The 16,041-nt window shown below is 41.5% G+C and overlaps 1 protein-coding gene across 1 annotated transcript in view; it reads right to left on the reverse strand.

Annotated features, from left to right (window-relative positions):
• Positions 1 to 16,041, reverse strand: part of ANKS6 (ankyrin repeat and sterile alpha motif domain containing 6) — a 64,547-nt gene that overhangs the window by 21,043 nt on the left and 27,463 nt on the right. Inside the window, exons 11-12 of the mRNA NM_173551.5 lie at positions 15,030 to 15,199; positions 3,369 to 3,552 (exon numbers count right to left, since the gene is read on the reverse strand). Coding sequence (NP_775822.3) covers positions 3,369 to 3,552; positions 15,030 to 15,199 — 354 coding nt within the window. The remainder of the gene's footprint in view (positions 1 to 3,368; positions 3,553 to 15,029; positions 15,200 to 16,041) is intronic.

Below are 16,041 nucleotides of genomic sequence, written 5' to 3' on the forward strand. Positions count from 1 at the left end.
TCTCGGGGGAAGGTGTATGCATGTATATAGGCACATAAATCTATTGCAGATTTACTGATATAAAGGATTTATAGCACACAATTTACAAATAATAAAAAATACAATATTCTTTCTTATAAATTCCATATAGCCAATTGATTCTCACCAAATGCTTTCATTTGTTTTTGCCCTACTCTTGTACCCACAGCCAAGGAGTATGGTTCCAACATGAACACTGGCTGAGAGTTTTGTTTACATGAACAAGAAACATAAAAAAGAAACAACAAAGACTTACGTTGGAACTTCAGGTGAGCAACTTGGCTGAATCAGATAATGGTTTTCAAATACTGGAAGAGTATTTTCTCAATTTTTTGTGCTACTCACAAGATAACGGTTACAGATACAACCTACTTTTAAGTTTAATCCTCATTGTTAACATTTTCCCATCACTGCCTAGATTACATGTAGACAATATCTATAAGACAACAAATCAAGCCCCGGATTGCTTGAGACCAGGGAGGTTGAGGCTGCAGTGAGCTGTGATCACACCACTGTACCCCAGCCTGGGTGACAGAGTAAGACCCTATCTCAAAAAAAAAAAAAGCAAGCCCTGATTGATGGTGTTTGCCAATTTCCATGGTGTAAATACCCCCATCATAGCCAATTTCAACCTACCAATCTAATGCCCCTGAAAGTGAAGCTGAGCAGAGATGCGCAGTAGGAACACATCATTACGGGGTATTCACACTGCAGGTATGAGATATACACAACCTCAAGAGCACAGATAATAAAATATACAAAAATGAGTAAAAAATACATTTTAAGTACAATATACTGTTATATTTCTATAATTCAGTTAATTCGAAGTTCATGTAATTTGTAAATAATGGTTGTGTTTAACAACCAGCTTGGGCATGTCCTATAAACTGAACAGTCGGCTCTGGCACCCCACTGCCCATCTCTTCCCAGTGTCGTGGTCCAGCTGGAGTGCCCGCTCACCAGGGGAGCCTACCATGGCACATGGTGCTTTGCTGATAACAGGTATGACCTCACCTTGTGTTACACTCTAATGTCATTATGTTGAATGTGTCTGTATCCCTGTGAGTTCCCCTGGGTGCATAGGTTAGGGCATCCAGGGGACTGCCCAAGAAAATTTCCTGGAACAAATGTGAGGCTGAGAAGGTGATGCTGTCACCAGCCTTGCTGCTTCAACAGGTGGAGTCCAGAGAGGAGGAATGCAGATGGAGACATGAGGCAGGGAAAAGCTCACGTGTCCTTGACTGGGACCAAATATTTCCCAGAAGAATATAATAAAAATAGCTCTTTGGGGGCCGGGCGTGGTGGCTCACACCTGTAATCCAAGCACTTTGGGAGGCCGAGGCGGGCGGATCACGAGGTCAGGAGATCGAGACCATCCTGGCTAACACGGTGAAACCCCGTCTCTACTAATAATACAAAATAATTAGCCAGGCGTGGTGGCGGGCACCTGAGGTCCCAGCTACTTGGCAGGCTGAGGCAGGAGAATGGTGTGAACCCGGGAGGAGGAGCTTGCAGTGAGCCGAGATCGCGCCACTGCACTCCAGCATGGGTGACAGAGCAAGCCTCCGTCTCAAAAAAAAAAAAGCTCTTCGGGGATGGATTGCAGCCCCCGGCCTATAACAATCATATACCCACAGGACAAAGGGCTCGCTGCCTCAGGACCCAGGAACTCTCAACAGGAAAACTAAGCTTTATGAACCAGAGAAATTATTCTACAAAGAAAGTGCTATTGGCCCTCTTCTTTTTTCATCCCAATTAGGACTCTGCAAACCATTTTTAATAATGAACAAGAGGGAAAGAGAGTGGGTACAAACAGTCCATACAGACATCCACTGTCTCCACTCTTTTTTGGAAAACAATGGGGCACAAATACCTAACTGAATCTCTAGGGGCTTCAATTCCTGAAAACCTCAGAGGTGGGAGAATTCACGAGTGTGGAACTCAAGACTCCACATAGAAAATATGGTTGGGGAGGAATGAGTTTGCTGGTGAATCTCTGAGGCCTTGATAAATGATCACACTGGATATCACAAAACAATAAAAGCAGCCCCCAAATAAGGAGGACACCAGTGGCAGCATGCATTTATCAACTTAGTACAGACTAGAGCCTGTGCAAGTGATTCCAACTTATCTTGCTCAGCAGAACCTGCTCAGCACCCTACTCCTCAGCAGCTGCAGCGAACTGCCCGCAAACGCATTTGTGAGGGCCACGAACACAATCAGATTTTCCTCCCTGCTGACTTATACTCCTCGATTTGCACCTGCCTGGACCCCAGGTCTCACCAAAGCTTCCTCCCTCTTTCCCCCATCCCAGCTCCTACAGGCCTCTAGAGGGCAGTTTAAAAGGATGGGATTCCTTTCTTCATCTGCCTTTATCTTTCCTGGGGCCTGACTGCAAAGCCTCTGCTCCTGCCCTACCACCCACTCCATCTTCCCTCATCATTCCCGCATGGGGGCTGCAGAGGCTGTAATTCACAAGGCAGGTTCCAAGGCTCTCCTGGTTGCAGCAGACATCAACTGCTTTTGCTTGCCCTCACCCATCCCCCTTCTCCTGGAAACAGTATTTCCAAATTTTCCTTTGAGGAACTATTTCTCTCCCACTTCCAATACACATATGTCAGTAGGTTGGACCCCAACTCCGCTCCAAAGCAGACAACTGACCGAAGGGGCATGGCCAATCACCACATTCCACCCCTGTGGACACAGAGATAGTCAAGGGAGGGCAACTGACCTAGGTCATTATAAATACAGCCAAGCCAATGGCCTTTACACTTGGGATTTTGCTGGACCTACTGAGAAAGTAGCACTCGTTCTGCTGGAGTTGAAAAATTGGTGGGAAGACAAAAGTATGCCTGAAGCTGCTTGCCACCACTTGGAGAGAACCTACCTGAGACCTGGAAACACTCCCAAAGCACCTGAATTCAGGCATGGTTGAAGCACACCCTAGACACTCCCATCATATGAGCCAATGAAATGTCAGGTTTCATTTTTTTCCCTTGAACCAGTGTGAGTGGAGTTTCTCTCACTCACAACTGAAAGAATCCTGACAGGTACAGGGTCCAGGGAAAGTAAGTTCGTGTTGGAGAAGCACTTCCATGGGTGTATGTTTGTGCATGTAAACAAAAATCACCTATACTCAAAAACTCTTTGAGGGAGCTTACCATACCTTTAGCATAGTGAAGACAAAAATACAAGGTACAATCAGAGAAGAGGAGGGACATGTTTGTCGTAAATCTTCTTAAAACCTGACCTAGGATGGTTATAGCAATTAAGGTCACCTTGCAGTTCCTTGCTGCCAGGTCATCATGGTGAGAGGAATAGGTGGGGTTTCAGGCCCTCAGGGGACTCACCCTCATCTGTGATGGTGCCACTGCTGGAGCCCCCACTGCTCTTGGACTGCCGATGGGATGACGAGGAAGACACTGAGGACTCTGCAGTGTGCCCTTTGGGTGAGGGGGAGGGCGTGAGGGTTGGAGAGGTGCTCTTGGAGGTAGTGGAAGTTCCAGATGGAGGCCTTTTGCTGGTCTCCAATTTCTGCTGAACAGAGTAAGACAAATACATAAGCCATCACCTGTAGGGTAGAAATGAGGAAAACAAGACACCCACAACAGGGAACATGGGTGGTATTTGATTCAACATGATGTTTAACCAAGACTATGAAATCTACTTTTAAAAACATGGAAAGCAGAAATATCATTATCAGAACAATTAGAGGAAAATGCAACCCTGGAGCAGAGATAGGATAAGATCAAATAGCTGCATATTATGAGTCAGGAACCACCCCGCTCCCCACCCCGCCCCGCTCCCCCAATCCCAGTCCTGCCCTCCAGCTACTTGCATTGTGGCTTTGGCCAAGCCCCCCGAGCTCTCTGGGCCTCAGTTAACCAGCTGTAAAATGAAAGTCTGGCTTAGGGAGGCACAAAGTCTCTTTCTGCTCTTGATGCTCCTTCATCTACACCAAAGAACACGTATTCTTCCCTTTTTCTCATTGGTTAGCTTTAAAACAAAGGCTTTTTACATTAAAATAATTCTAGACGTATAGAAGAGCTGCACAGAGAGAACAGAGTTCCCACATACCCCTCACACAGCTTCCTGATATTAATATCTACATCGTCACAGTATAATGATCAAAACTAACAAGCTGACATTGACACAACACTATTAACTAAACTACAGACTTCACTCTGTTTCCCTGGCTGTTTTGCTTATGTCCTTATGCTGGTCCAAGATCTGATCCAGGAACCCACACTGCATGGAGCTGTGCTGTATCTCTGTAGGCTCCTCTGACCTGTGACAGCGCTGTCTTTCCTTGTCTTTCATGACCCTGACACTTGGGAAATCTTGGTCAGGTATTTTGAAGAATGCACATCATTTTGGGATTATCTTAAGTTTTCCCATAATTAGATGTGCTTGTGAATGTAGGGGGCAATGAAGTGATATGCCCATTCAGTGCATCGTTATGCAGAGAGGACACAGTATCTGATTACTGGTGATGGTAACCTTCATCACTTACATGAGGGGATGTCTGCTGGGTTTCTCCATTATAAAGTCACTATTTTTCTTTTTAATATTATTTGGGCTGGGCATGGTGGCTCATGCCTGTAATCCCAGCACTTTGGGAGGCTGAGGCAGGTGGATCACAAGGTCAAGAGTTCAAGAGCAGCCTAGCCAATATGGTGAAACCCCATCTCTACTAAAAAATACAAAAATTAGCCAAGTGTGGTGGTGGGTGCCTGTAGTCCTAGCTACTTGGGAGGCTGAGGCAGGAGAATCACTTGAACCCGGGAGGCAGAGGTTGCAGTGAGCCGAGATCGCACCACTGCACTCCAGCCTGGGTGACAAAGCGAGACTCTGTCTCAAAATAAATAAATAAATAAATAAATAAATATACAAAATAAAATATCCTTTGGGAGAAGTTTTTGGGTAAATATTTATTAAGGTTCTGCCCATTAACTTTGCATTCATTGGTGAGTCTCACTGAGGCAAGTGTTACAGTGGTGTTCCCATGGTGATTTTCTATTGCCCTCCTTCCTTCCACATTTATTATCTGTAATACTTCTATAAGGAAGAGTTGTTCTTTCTCTCCTATTTATTTGCTCAATCATTTATTCCTATCAGTACAGGCTCATGGGTATTTTTTAAGCTCTGGGCCATAATCCAATATTACTGTTATTTTGTAGCTCATTATTACAGCTTTGGCCATTGTGAGATCTTTCGGGTTGGCTCCTGTACCCTTTTGACATGCGCCATCTTTCTTTTTTTTTTTTTTTGTCTTTCTTTTTAAAAGTATTTGCCTACTTTCTGACACCACAAAATATTCTAAGCTCATCTTATGTTTCTGCTGACCCAGTACTAGAATAAAACACTTCTCCAAAGCTTTCCAAGGTCCCTTTTATTAGAGAATGGTATTTAGAAACCAAAATCTGGGTACTAGGTTGCTCACTGGTACTGGGATGTCACTGCTTCTAGGTCCTCAAAGTGGACAGAGCAAAGACATATATACACTAACCGATGTATACACACATAGCCATATCTACTTTTATATCTACTAACTCTGTGTGTGTGCAACTCTCTGTGTATTTAAAAGCATGCACTCATACTGATTCATACCGATACCTCTGACTTCAACCCAACATCCACAGAGTTTGTTCTAGCATTTTTCCTTTGATTCTGTCTCTGACAGTAAAAACTTTGCTACTTATTTATTCAATCCTGGTATATATGTTAAGTGTACATGTACACAAAAAAATTTTTAGCCCATATCCTGGTAAGGATAACAGAATTGTTAGCCCATATCCTGGTAAGAAAAAAAATATCAACTAGAGTACAGTACTTGTATACAGTACTTTTTGTCTTTAGCCTAATATCCACTCAACATACGATTTTCTCCTCCACCTCCTACAATGTGGTTAGGTCATTCATTTGAATACACTTAGATCTTCTGTCATAGTTTGCATTCTATCTTTGGTTCCTGGTTGATTTTGTTTTTTTTAATTTGCATACAGTAAAAAATAGCTCTGTTGTACACAATTCCATGGGATCTGAAAAACACATAGTGTTATGTATCCACCAAGAGGGTACCATACAGAAGAGTTCCATCATCCTCTGAATGTCCTTAAGTGGTCCTTTTCTAGCTAATCCCTCCTCCTAATCCCAAGCCATAAAAACAGCGCTCTATGTTCCATCCTGTGACTAGAGACAAAAAAATAAACTATTTTTCCTCTATTCTTACCCCACAACAATCAACACAGAATGTGTCTGTAACCAAAGGTATGGAGCTTTCTTCCCCTACACACCAATCAATTAATCAGTTCTGCAGTGGACACCAGCTAAGTATCCTCCAATTCAAGTCTGACATGATCTATCCAAACACAGCATCAAATCCCACAGGTTGAGGGCTCAGTCCCAGGAGACTGCCCCCACTTCAGATGCCAACTGAAAGCCCCAGATTGTTTTACCTGTGCTTTTGACTGGCTATAAATCAGAGTTCCCACAACTCCCTCCTTGGGTTTGATTAATTGGCTAGTGGCTCACAGAATTCAGGGAAACACTTACTTACATTTATGGGTTTATATGGATTATTATTCAGCCATAAAAAGGATGAAATCCTGTCATTCAAAGCAACATGGATGGAACTGGAGGACATTATGTTAAGTGAAATAAGCCAAGAATGGAAAGTGAAACACTGCATACTCTAACTCATATGTGGAAGCTTAAAAAGATGATCAATGTAAGTAAAAAGTAGAACAGAGGATACTAGAAGGTGGGAAGGGAGAGACAGGAAGAGATTTGTTAAAAGGATACAAAACTATAGCTAGATAGGAGGAATAAGTTCTAGTGCTCTATACCACTGTAGGATGACGACAGTTAACAATAATATATAGTTTCAAAAAGCTAGAAGGAGGATATTGAATCTTCCCAACACAAAGAAATAATAAATGTCTGATATGATGGATATATAATTACCCAGATCTGATCACTATATAGTATATGTATCTAAACATCACTATGTACCCCCTAAATATGTACAATTATTATGTGTCAATGAAAAAAAATAAAAATTTAAAGATATTACCATGCATAGGGCAAGGCACGGAGGAAGGGGCAAGGAGCTCCCACACTCTTCCTGGGCATACTACCCTCCAGGAGTCTCCAGGTGTTCAGCTGTTTGGCTCTCTGAACCCAGTCCTTTTCAGGTTTTCATGAAAGCCTCATTATGGTGGCACAATTAATTAAATCATTGGCCACTGATTATCAACTAAACCTTCAAACCCTCTCCCTCTCCCCAGAGGTTATGGGGTAGAGTGAAAGGCTCAACCCTCTAATCCTACCCTCTAATCCTGCCCTCTAATCCTGCCCTGGTCTTTGCTGTGACTGGTTGCCATCCTGGAGCTACTTAGGGGCTGCCAGCCATCAGTCAATTCATTAGCACACAAAATGACATCACTTTGGAGATTCTAAGGATTTAGGAATTGTATGACAGGAAACTGGATGAAGACCAAATATACACTTCACTGTTATCACATATCCCTACAGTGTTGCTGTTGCCAGAATCTCATATAAATGGAATCACACAATTTGTAGATTTTTGGGTCTGTCTTCTTTCACTCAGCATGATGCCTTTAGGATTCATTCAAGCAATCGCACGTATCAATAGTGTGTCCCTTTTTGATGCTGTGTTGTGTTCTATTATTACATGAATGTACTACAATTAGTTTATCTATTCACCTGTTGAAGAACATTTGGGATGTTTCCAGTTTGGGGTGATTATTTTTTAAAACTAATGTAAAGGTTCACAGATTTTTGTGTGAAGAGAAATTTTTTAAAAATCCACCTAGTAGTCAGTTAGCTGGGTCATATCATAAGTGAATGTTTAGTTTTATAAGAAACTGCCTATCTTTTTCAAGGTGGCTGTACCATTTTGCATTCCTATTAGCAATGAATGGGAGTTCCAGTAGTTCCACATTTGTCACCAGCAACTGTACCTTTTTAAATATTAGCCAGTCTGACAGGTATATAGCTCTATCTTAATTATGGTTTTAATTTGCATTATCCTAGTACCTAATGGTTAAACATCTTTTCATATGCTTATTTGCCATCTTTATATTTTCTTTGATGAAGTATCTGTTCAAATATTTTGCCCATTTTTACATTTATGTTTTATTATTGAATTGAGGGTTCTTTATTTAGTCTGGAAAAAAAGACTTGATTCTTTATAGAGATAGGACCTCACTCTGTAGCCCAGGCTGGAATGCAGTGGCAACATCACAGCTCACTGCAGCCTTGAACTCTAGGGCTTAAGCAATATTCCCATCTCAGCCTCCCGAGTAGTTGGGACCACAGATATGAGCCACTGCACCTGGCTCCTGGATAAAAAACTTTTTCCAGATCTATGATTTGAAAATATTCTCTCCTAGTCTGTGGCATGACTTTTCATTTTCTTAATGGTATCTTTTACCAGGCAAAAGATTTGAGTTCTGATTAAGTCCAAATTTGCCAATTTTTTCTTTTATGTATCATGCTTTTGGCACTGTGAGATACACGTGGAGGTTCCTTTTCTTGCAATATGGACATCCAATTGTTCCAGCACTCTTCATTGAAAAGACTACCCTTTCTCCACTGAATTGCCTTTGTACCTTTAAAAAAAGAATTTATTTGGCTTTTCTTGTGCGGGTCTATTTTTGGGCTCTCTCTTTTGTTCCACTGATCTATTTGTCTGCCCTTTTGCTAATACCACACTGGAGCTTTATGGTAAGTCTTGAAATTAGGCAGTGTGAGCCTGCCAACTTTATTCTTTTTCATATGACTATTATAATTTTTTGTACCTCAATATAAAATTTATAATCAGTTTCTAGATCTCTACAAAAAGAGCTTGCTGGGATTTTGACTGGGATTACATTTAATCTGTAGATCAAATTGCAGAGAATTGGTATCTTCATAATCACAAGCCTTCCATCTCTTCATTTATTTAAGCTTCTTTATCAGTGTTTTGTAGTTTTTGACCTTTTGATTCCACACATATTAGATTTATACCTAAGTATTATATTATATTCCATATAATACATTTTCACATAACTTCAATTTCATACATGTTAAATGTATTATATTTTTAAAATTTCAAATTAAAAACATTCTAAATGTCCTAATGCTAAATGTTTATTACTACTGTAGAGAAATACAGCTGACTTCTGGATATTGACCCGTATTGTATCCTGAGACTTTGCTGGACTCACTTATTCATCCTAAGAGCTTTTGTGTAGATTCTTTGCAGTTTTCTATGTGGACAGTCATGTCATCTAAGAACAGATATAGTTTTGTTTCTTCCTTTCCCATCTGTATGCCTTTTATTTTTCTTGCCTTATTGTACTAGCCATAGTATTTGGTACAAAGTTGACAGTTGGAGGTAAGAGACAACATCCTTGTTCCCAGTCTTAGGAGGAAAACAATCCTTAACCATCAAGTATAATCCTGGCTATATGTGTTTTATGTCAGATTCAGGAGGTTTCCCTCAATTCCTAGTTTGTTGAGAGTTTTAATGATGAATGGATTTTAAATTTTGTTAAGTGCTTTTTCTGCATATTCTTTAGTCTGTTCATACGGTGAAGGCTAATGATTGATTTTATAATGGTGAACCAGATTTGCCTTCCTGGGATGAACCCCACTTGGTCAGAAGGTATTATACTTTGTATTTAATCATGGGATTAGATTTGCTCATATTTTGTGAAGGATTTTTATATTTATATTCATGAGGGCTACTGGTCTGTCATTTTTCTTTTCATGTTAGTCATAAAAATGCATCCTTGTTCCCAATCTTAGGAGAAAAGAAAATCTTAGGGATTTTCTATAATAATATAATAACATAGGGGTCAATTCTCCAAGACATGCAATCCTAAATGTGTACACAGCTCGTGAGGCAAAAACCAACAGAACTGAAAGGAGAAATAGACCAAACTGCAGTTATAGTTGGACACTTTAAAATTCCTCTCTCAGTAATTAGTAGAACAAGTAGAGAGAAAATCAGTAAGAATATAGAAGACATGAACAACAGTAACAACCAACTAGACTTAATTATACATTTATGGACATTTATAGAACTCCTCTCCCCCAACAATAACAACAGAATGCACTTTCTTTCCAATTGCCTATGAGAAATTCACCAAAAGAGATCACATTCTAGGGCACAAAATAGACCTCAAAACATTTAAAGGGATAGAACTAGAAACAGAACTATAATCAAATTAAACTGAAATCCCCAAAAACAGAAAGATTTCTGGAAAACTAACAAATAATTGAAAAATAAACAATACATTTCTAAATAATCAATGGGCCAAAGAGGAAATCTCAAGAGAAGGGGAAAATATTTTGAATGGAATTAAAATTAAAATATATCAAAATTTGTGGGATGTAGAAAAAGCATCACATAGAGGTAAATTTATAGCATTAAATATCTGTATTAGAAAAAAAGAAAGATCTCTAAACTGTAATCTAAGCTTCCACCATAAGGAACTAGAGAAAGAAGATAAAACCCAAAGGAAGTAGAGGGAAAGAAATTATAGATAAGAGCAGAAATCAATTAAATTGAAAACAGAAAAACAGAGAAAATCAATAAAACCAAAGTTGGTTCTTTGAAAACATCAATAAAATTGATAAACTTCTAGCCAAACTGATTAAGAAAAAAAGAGAGAAGTCACAAATTACCAATAGAGGAATGAAAAAGGAGACATTCCTACTGATCCTATGTAATAAAATAGTAATAGATACATACTACTAACAACTGTATATCCATAAATTCAACAACTTAGATAAAAGGGAATAATTCCTTGAAAGATACAAAGTACAAAAACTCACCCAAGTAGAAATAGAACACCTGAATAGTCCTATATCTATTAATGAAATTCATTCTGTAAGTTAAAACCTTCCAAAAGAGAAAACGGCAGGCCCAAATGGTTTCCCTGGCAAATTTTATCAAACATCTAAGGAAAAGGTAATAAGAATTCTACACAGTATCTTCTAGAAAACTAGAAGAGGAGACAATACTTCCCAATTCATTTTATGAGCCAACGTGACAGTTTTTTCTTTCAGTACTTTAAAGATGTCACAACACTGTCTTTGATTTGCATGATTTCTGACAAAAAGTCTGCTGTAATTCCTATTTTTGTTTCTCTGTATGTAATTTCTTTCAAGAAAAGGCTGCCTTCAAGATTTTCTCTTTGGCTTGTTTTCAGTAGTTTAAACATAATATGGAGGGGTACATTCTTTTTGGTATTTACCCTATTGAGCATTCTGTGAACTTCCTGGATCTGTGGTTTGGCATCTGTCATTAATTTGAGAAAATTCTCAACCATTATTTCTTTTCATTTTTTAAGCATTATTTCTTTACATATTCCTTCTGCCCCACCTCTCTCTCTTCCTGTAGGGATTCCAATTACCTCTATGCTGTGGCATTTGATATCATGCCATGACTACTGAGTACTGATGTTTTATATGTGTTTCTTCTTTCTTCTCTTGTGATTCAGTTGGGGTAAACTCTACTGACCTAACTTCAAGTTCACTGACTCTTTCCCTGGCGGCCTCAAGTCTACTGAGGTGCCTGTCAAAGGTATTTCTCAACTCCATTACTGTTTTATTTCTAACATTTCCATTGGGTTCTTTCTTATAGTTTCCATCTCTCTACTAAAATAGTTACCCATATGATCTTGCATGTTGTTTATACCTTCTATTAGGACCTTTAACATATTAATCACAGTTATTTAAAATTCCCTGTCAAATATTCTAACACCTTTGTCAGATCTGATTATCATGATTGCTTCATTTCTAAGGAGTGTGGTTTTTCTTGACTTTTTGTATGTCTTGTAAATTTTGCTAAAAATTGGACATATTATATAGTAGAGTATAGACTAAGATTTCTAAGCATAAATGGATATATCTTTCTTCCTACTAAGCCTTTAATGCTCCTTCTAGCTGATTATATGCCTGAGTGGAAAAAGAAGACCCTCCCTGAGGTTTTGAAAGACTTGCCAAAAAGCTGGCTATACTACTAATAAATTCTCTCTTTTCTCTGCTCTTTCCATGAAGACAGACAATCCCAAATAGAATCTCTGATAAAGCAGGAGATAATTAGTATATCCCCACAGATCTATTCCAGCCAAAAGCAAAGAAACATGATACTCTGGACCATATGGGCAACATACTGGGGAAGAGGTGGGTAAATATAAGATTATTTGGGATTCTGTGAAATATTTGAATTGTTCTCAATATCCGTTGAGTGGTAGGCTGATTGTGTTAATGACATCATCTCTACCCCTCCCTCTGTATGTAGTTCTGTGTGCTCTCCTGCCACAGGCATACTAACTTGCTTAAACAACCTGATTGGCTTTCAACCCATGCCTTCAGCCACTGCCCTGAGAACATGTCCAAGCTTGTTGTAGACACATGTGGCTCAGTTGTCCTGGCCACCTCAGCCACCAGCCAGGTGAGTGATCCTGCAGACCAGAGAACTGCCCACATAAGTCCAGATTAAACTGCTGACCCACAGACACACAAGCAGCTAAGTAATGTTTTTGTTTGAAATGACTGAGCTTTAAGGTAGGAATAGAAAGCTGATATATCTAGTAGGCCTTTAGGCCTCCAGAGATCTGGGAAGTATTGGTGCACACTCTAACGCCACCTATGCTGTGTCTCTTGGAACTCATATCACACTGATTCACGGCCCTGCTAGATGCCATGCCTTGTGGATATTCCACCATTACAGCGAGTTATTTTAAGCAAAGTACAAAAACCAGATTGAGGAGGCTCATATGTTGAATACTAACTTCTAATTTTTACTAAGGTTATCTTTGAAAAAGCACTTCATGTCTCTATCTTGCTGCTGGGATAGAAAGCCCACTTCTGTGTCCTTTGATTTAAGACTGTGGTTTCTATGAGCCCCGGACTGGGCTGGTTCCAACAGATGCTCTGGCAGGAATAACATTCCCCAGACCCTCCCGAGAGCCTCATTCAGGTATGCTGGGGTGGAGCCCAGAAACCTGAATTTTTAGATAGCTCCTCAAGATCATAACATACTATTAACATTATGTTATAAATGTCAGGTGATCATTGAAATGGATGGTTTCCCCAGTTTACTGCTTCCTGAATGCATCTTTTGATACAATCTCCTTTCATGAGAATATACTTATATATAATGTATGATCAATACATCAAAATAATAGTTCATATAATAGAGAATAGTTAATATAATTTATAACTTGGAAATGCCTTATTTCCAATAAAAATTAAAGGAAGCTAACATATAACACATCCAATAAGACCATCAGAATAGAAACAAAATTTTAGACAAGAAACACTATATCAAAGCCTCAAAACAGTAGGCTTCATGAGTAGCTGAGTTTCCTAGTAGCAAAGGCAAAGAAAGAAATACAATAATTCTAAAAATTCTTACTATCTGATAAAATAAAATATATCAAAGTATCAGTAGAGACTTTTTTCCTCACAGCCGAATTATAAAAGGAACTTAATCATATAGGACGTATTACACAAATTATTTTGAAGATAAAAAAATGGAAAATAAGCAAATGTGTAGGGAGAAAATCTTTTTGGAGCTATACTGTGAAAGGAATCTAATTATATAGGTCCTATTGCACAAGGGATCTTGAGTAACAAAAAGAGTTGTGTAACCAAGAGTGGCTGGGCAGAAAATGACTATTTCTCATACAGTACATGTACATCCTGGGAGCATAAATCTCTGGAGGCGCTTCTTTGGTGGGCAAAGGTCCATGGATGAGGGAGGCTTTCTGTGTTTGGACTTTTCTCACTGAAGGAAGCTTATGACATCTAAGAACTATGAAGAGTGGGGTTTTGCCTGGACATAGAGTCCCCTCAGAGGAGGAAAGGGTTATGCTGCACTACTGGGGAGTCACTTGGTGGAGGAGCCAGCTCACACTCACGACTAGGAACCCGCACTCTGGGGGCTCACCCAGAAATCAACCAAGGCAAAGAGGTTCAGGAGGCAGAGGCAGAGTCTGAAGACACTAAAAAACTTCTTGTTCCAGGAAGGCATCTAGGTTTTCTTGCTTACTGCATTATCTGTAGATGCTAACAATGTGGTGACTGTTCTCTGGCTGCATTAATGGAAGCACAGTGCCCAGAAGCAGGGAGACAAGGTCCCGGCTCTGTCCTGCTCATGTCCTTCCTTCAGCTCCTCCCTTAGGCCACGCTGTCACCTCTGGAGTGCTACACAAGTTGTTCCCTCACACCAGAACAGTTGCACCAACACCCCTGGCCCACCCACACCCCTTTTACCTGGCTCCATTCTCATCCTTCAGATCCCCATCCAGATGGCCCTGATGCCCTCAAACCTGGGTAGGGCCCCCCACCTGTGCCCCTACAGCATCCTTCCTGCTCCACAACAACCCCTATCACACTGAGCTGTGACTGCCTGTGTCCTTAGAGCGGTTGCCAAATTTCCCAGTTCACAGTTGGATCCTTACTGTTAGCTGTGCCAGGCACAGAGCAGATGCTCCCAGGATGTATACAGTGGATGAATAAGGTTGAAGGACAACAAAGACCACTAAGAACGCTGTCAACAGGAACAGCCAACACGGACATGAGCTTATCCTGTGCCAGGCCCTGTTCTAAATGCTGAGGTGTGGGGCTGAGAGCTGAACCCAGGCAGGTTGCTCCTCAACTCATGCTCTTAAACCATTCATCCTCATCAATGAACAAATGTGTGCAGTGTGAGGCTGGGTGACCTGTGGGACTGCAGGAAGTGGGTGTGTACCCTGCCACTGTGCAGCAGCCCAGTGCCCCTCAAACCTGGAGATGTGAGGGGAGGTAAACGCCTGGTGCGGAGGACCATTTCAGCCCTTCTCATGCAGCCCAGGAGTGGCTGGCTGGAAGGGGCCTGTCTTTAGTCCTGTCCCATGACTAAGGCACTGCCCATGCTTCCCGGCAAGTGGCCCATGTTAGAACAGAATCTGTGAGTGTAACAGGAGGAGGCCACACAAAACAAGCACCTTGCCAACAGGAGCGCTGCCACCTGCAGGGGAGGCTGGAAGCTCAGACGGGCTGGACCCCGGTGCTGGCCCCACAGGGCTTGACCGATGGCTGGGTTTCTGCTCCAATAATCCGGCTGCTTTTTTCCTCTGGGCAGCGATTTGGGACAAGACATTGTCTATGCTGCCACCTGAGGAAACACAAAATGAGTGAACACCATGGGCACAGAGGGCTTACTCCAACACAAGGGTGGTGGACTGTCGTGTGATGATTGGGTTGGAGCCAGTCTCCCAGACTCCCTTCCCCATGTGGCTCCAGGACAGGACTGACCACAGGAGAATTCTGCAGGAGAACCAGGAGGTAGATGTTTAGGCAGCAGGCTCTGTGCTGCGAAGGCGTAATGGTAAGAGGTGGGAAGCAGCAGCAAAGGCAAAACCCAGTCCATCCTCGCTTTCCCCGTGCCACAGCCAGCTTGTGCCGGCCCCCACCAGGCACAGATGCAACACCCTGCACTCGATGCCCACAGAAGCCCCTCTGCAGAGCCGGCCAGCAGCTGCACAGACCGTCTTGTCTGGCTGCACCAGGGCTTCAGGAGGGCTAGTGAGTGATTGGTCCCTCACCCTTTGACTCTCCCTTTATGTGGCCACCTACTCTCACGACTGAGTCAATAAATTCCCAATTCCATAATGCTCAGAGTGCTCTGCTTCCTGACTGAACCCTGACTGCCATTCTCCCTCACCCTGCTTCCCAAATCTACTGGTAACCTTGAACTATTATAAAATAAAGGGGCCGGGTGCAGTGGCTCACGCCTGTAATCCCAGCACTTTGGGAGGCCGAGGCGGGCAGATCACAAGGTAGAGATCGAGACCAGCCTGGCCAACATGGTGAAACCCTGTCTCTACTAAAAATATAAAAAATTAGCTGGGTGTGGTGGCGGGCACCTGTAATCCCAGCTACTTGGGAGGCTGAGGGAGGAGGATCGCTTGAACCCAGAAGGGGGAGGCTGCAGTGAGTGAAGATCGCACCACTGCA

The sequence above is a fragment of the Homo sapiens genome, chromosome 9, assembly GCF_000001405.40.
Source record: "Homo sapiens chromosome 9, GRCh38.p14 Primary Assembly".
Lineage (NCBI taxonomy): Eukaryota > Metazoa > Chordata > Mammalia > Primates > Hominidae > Homo > Homo sapiens.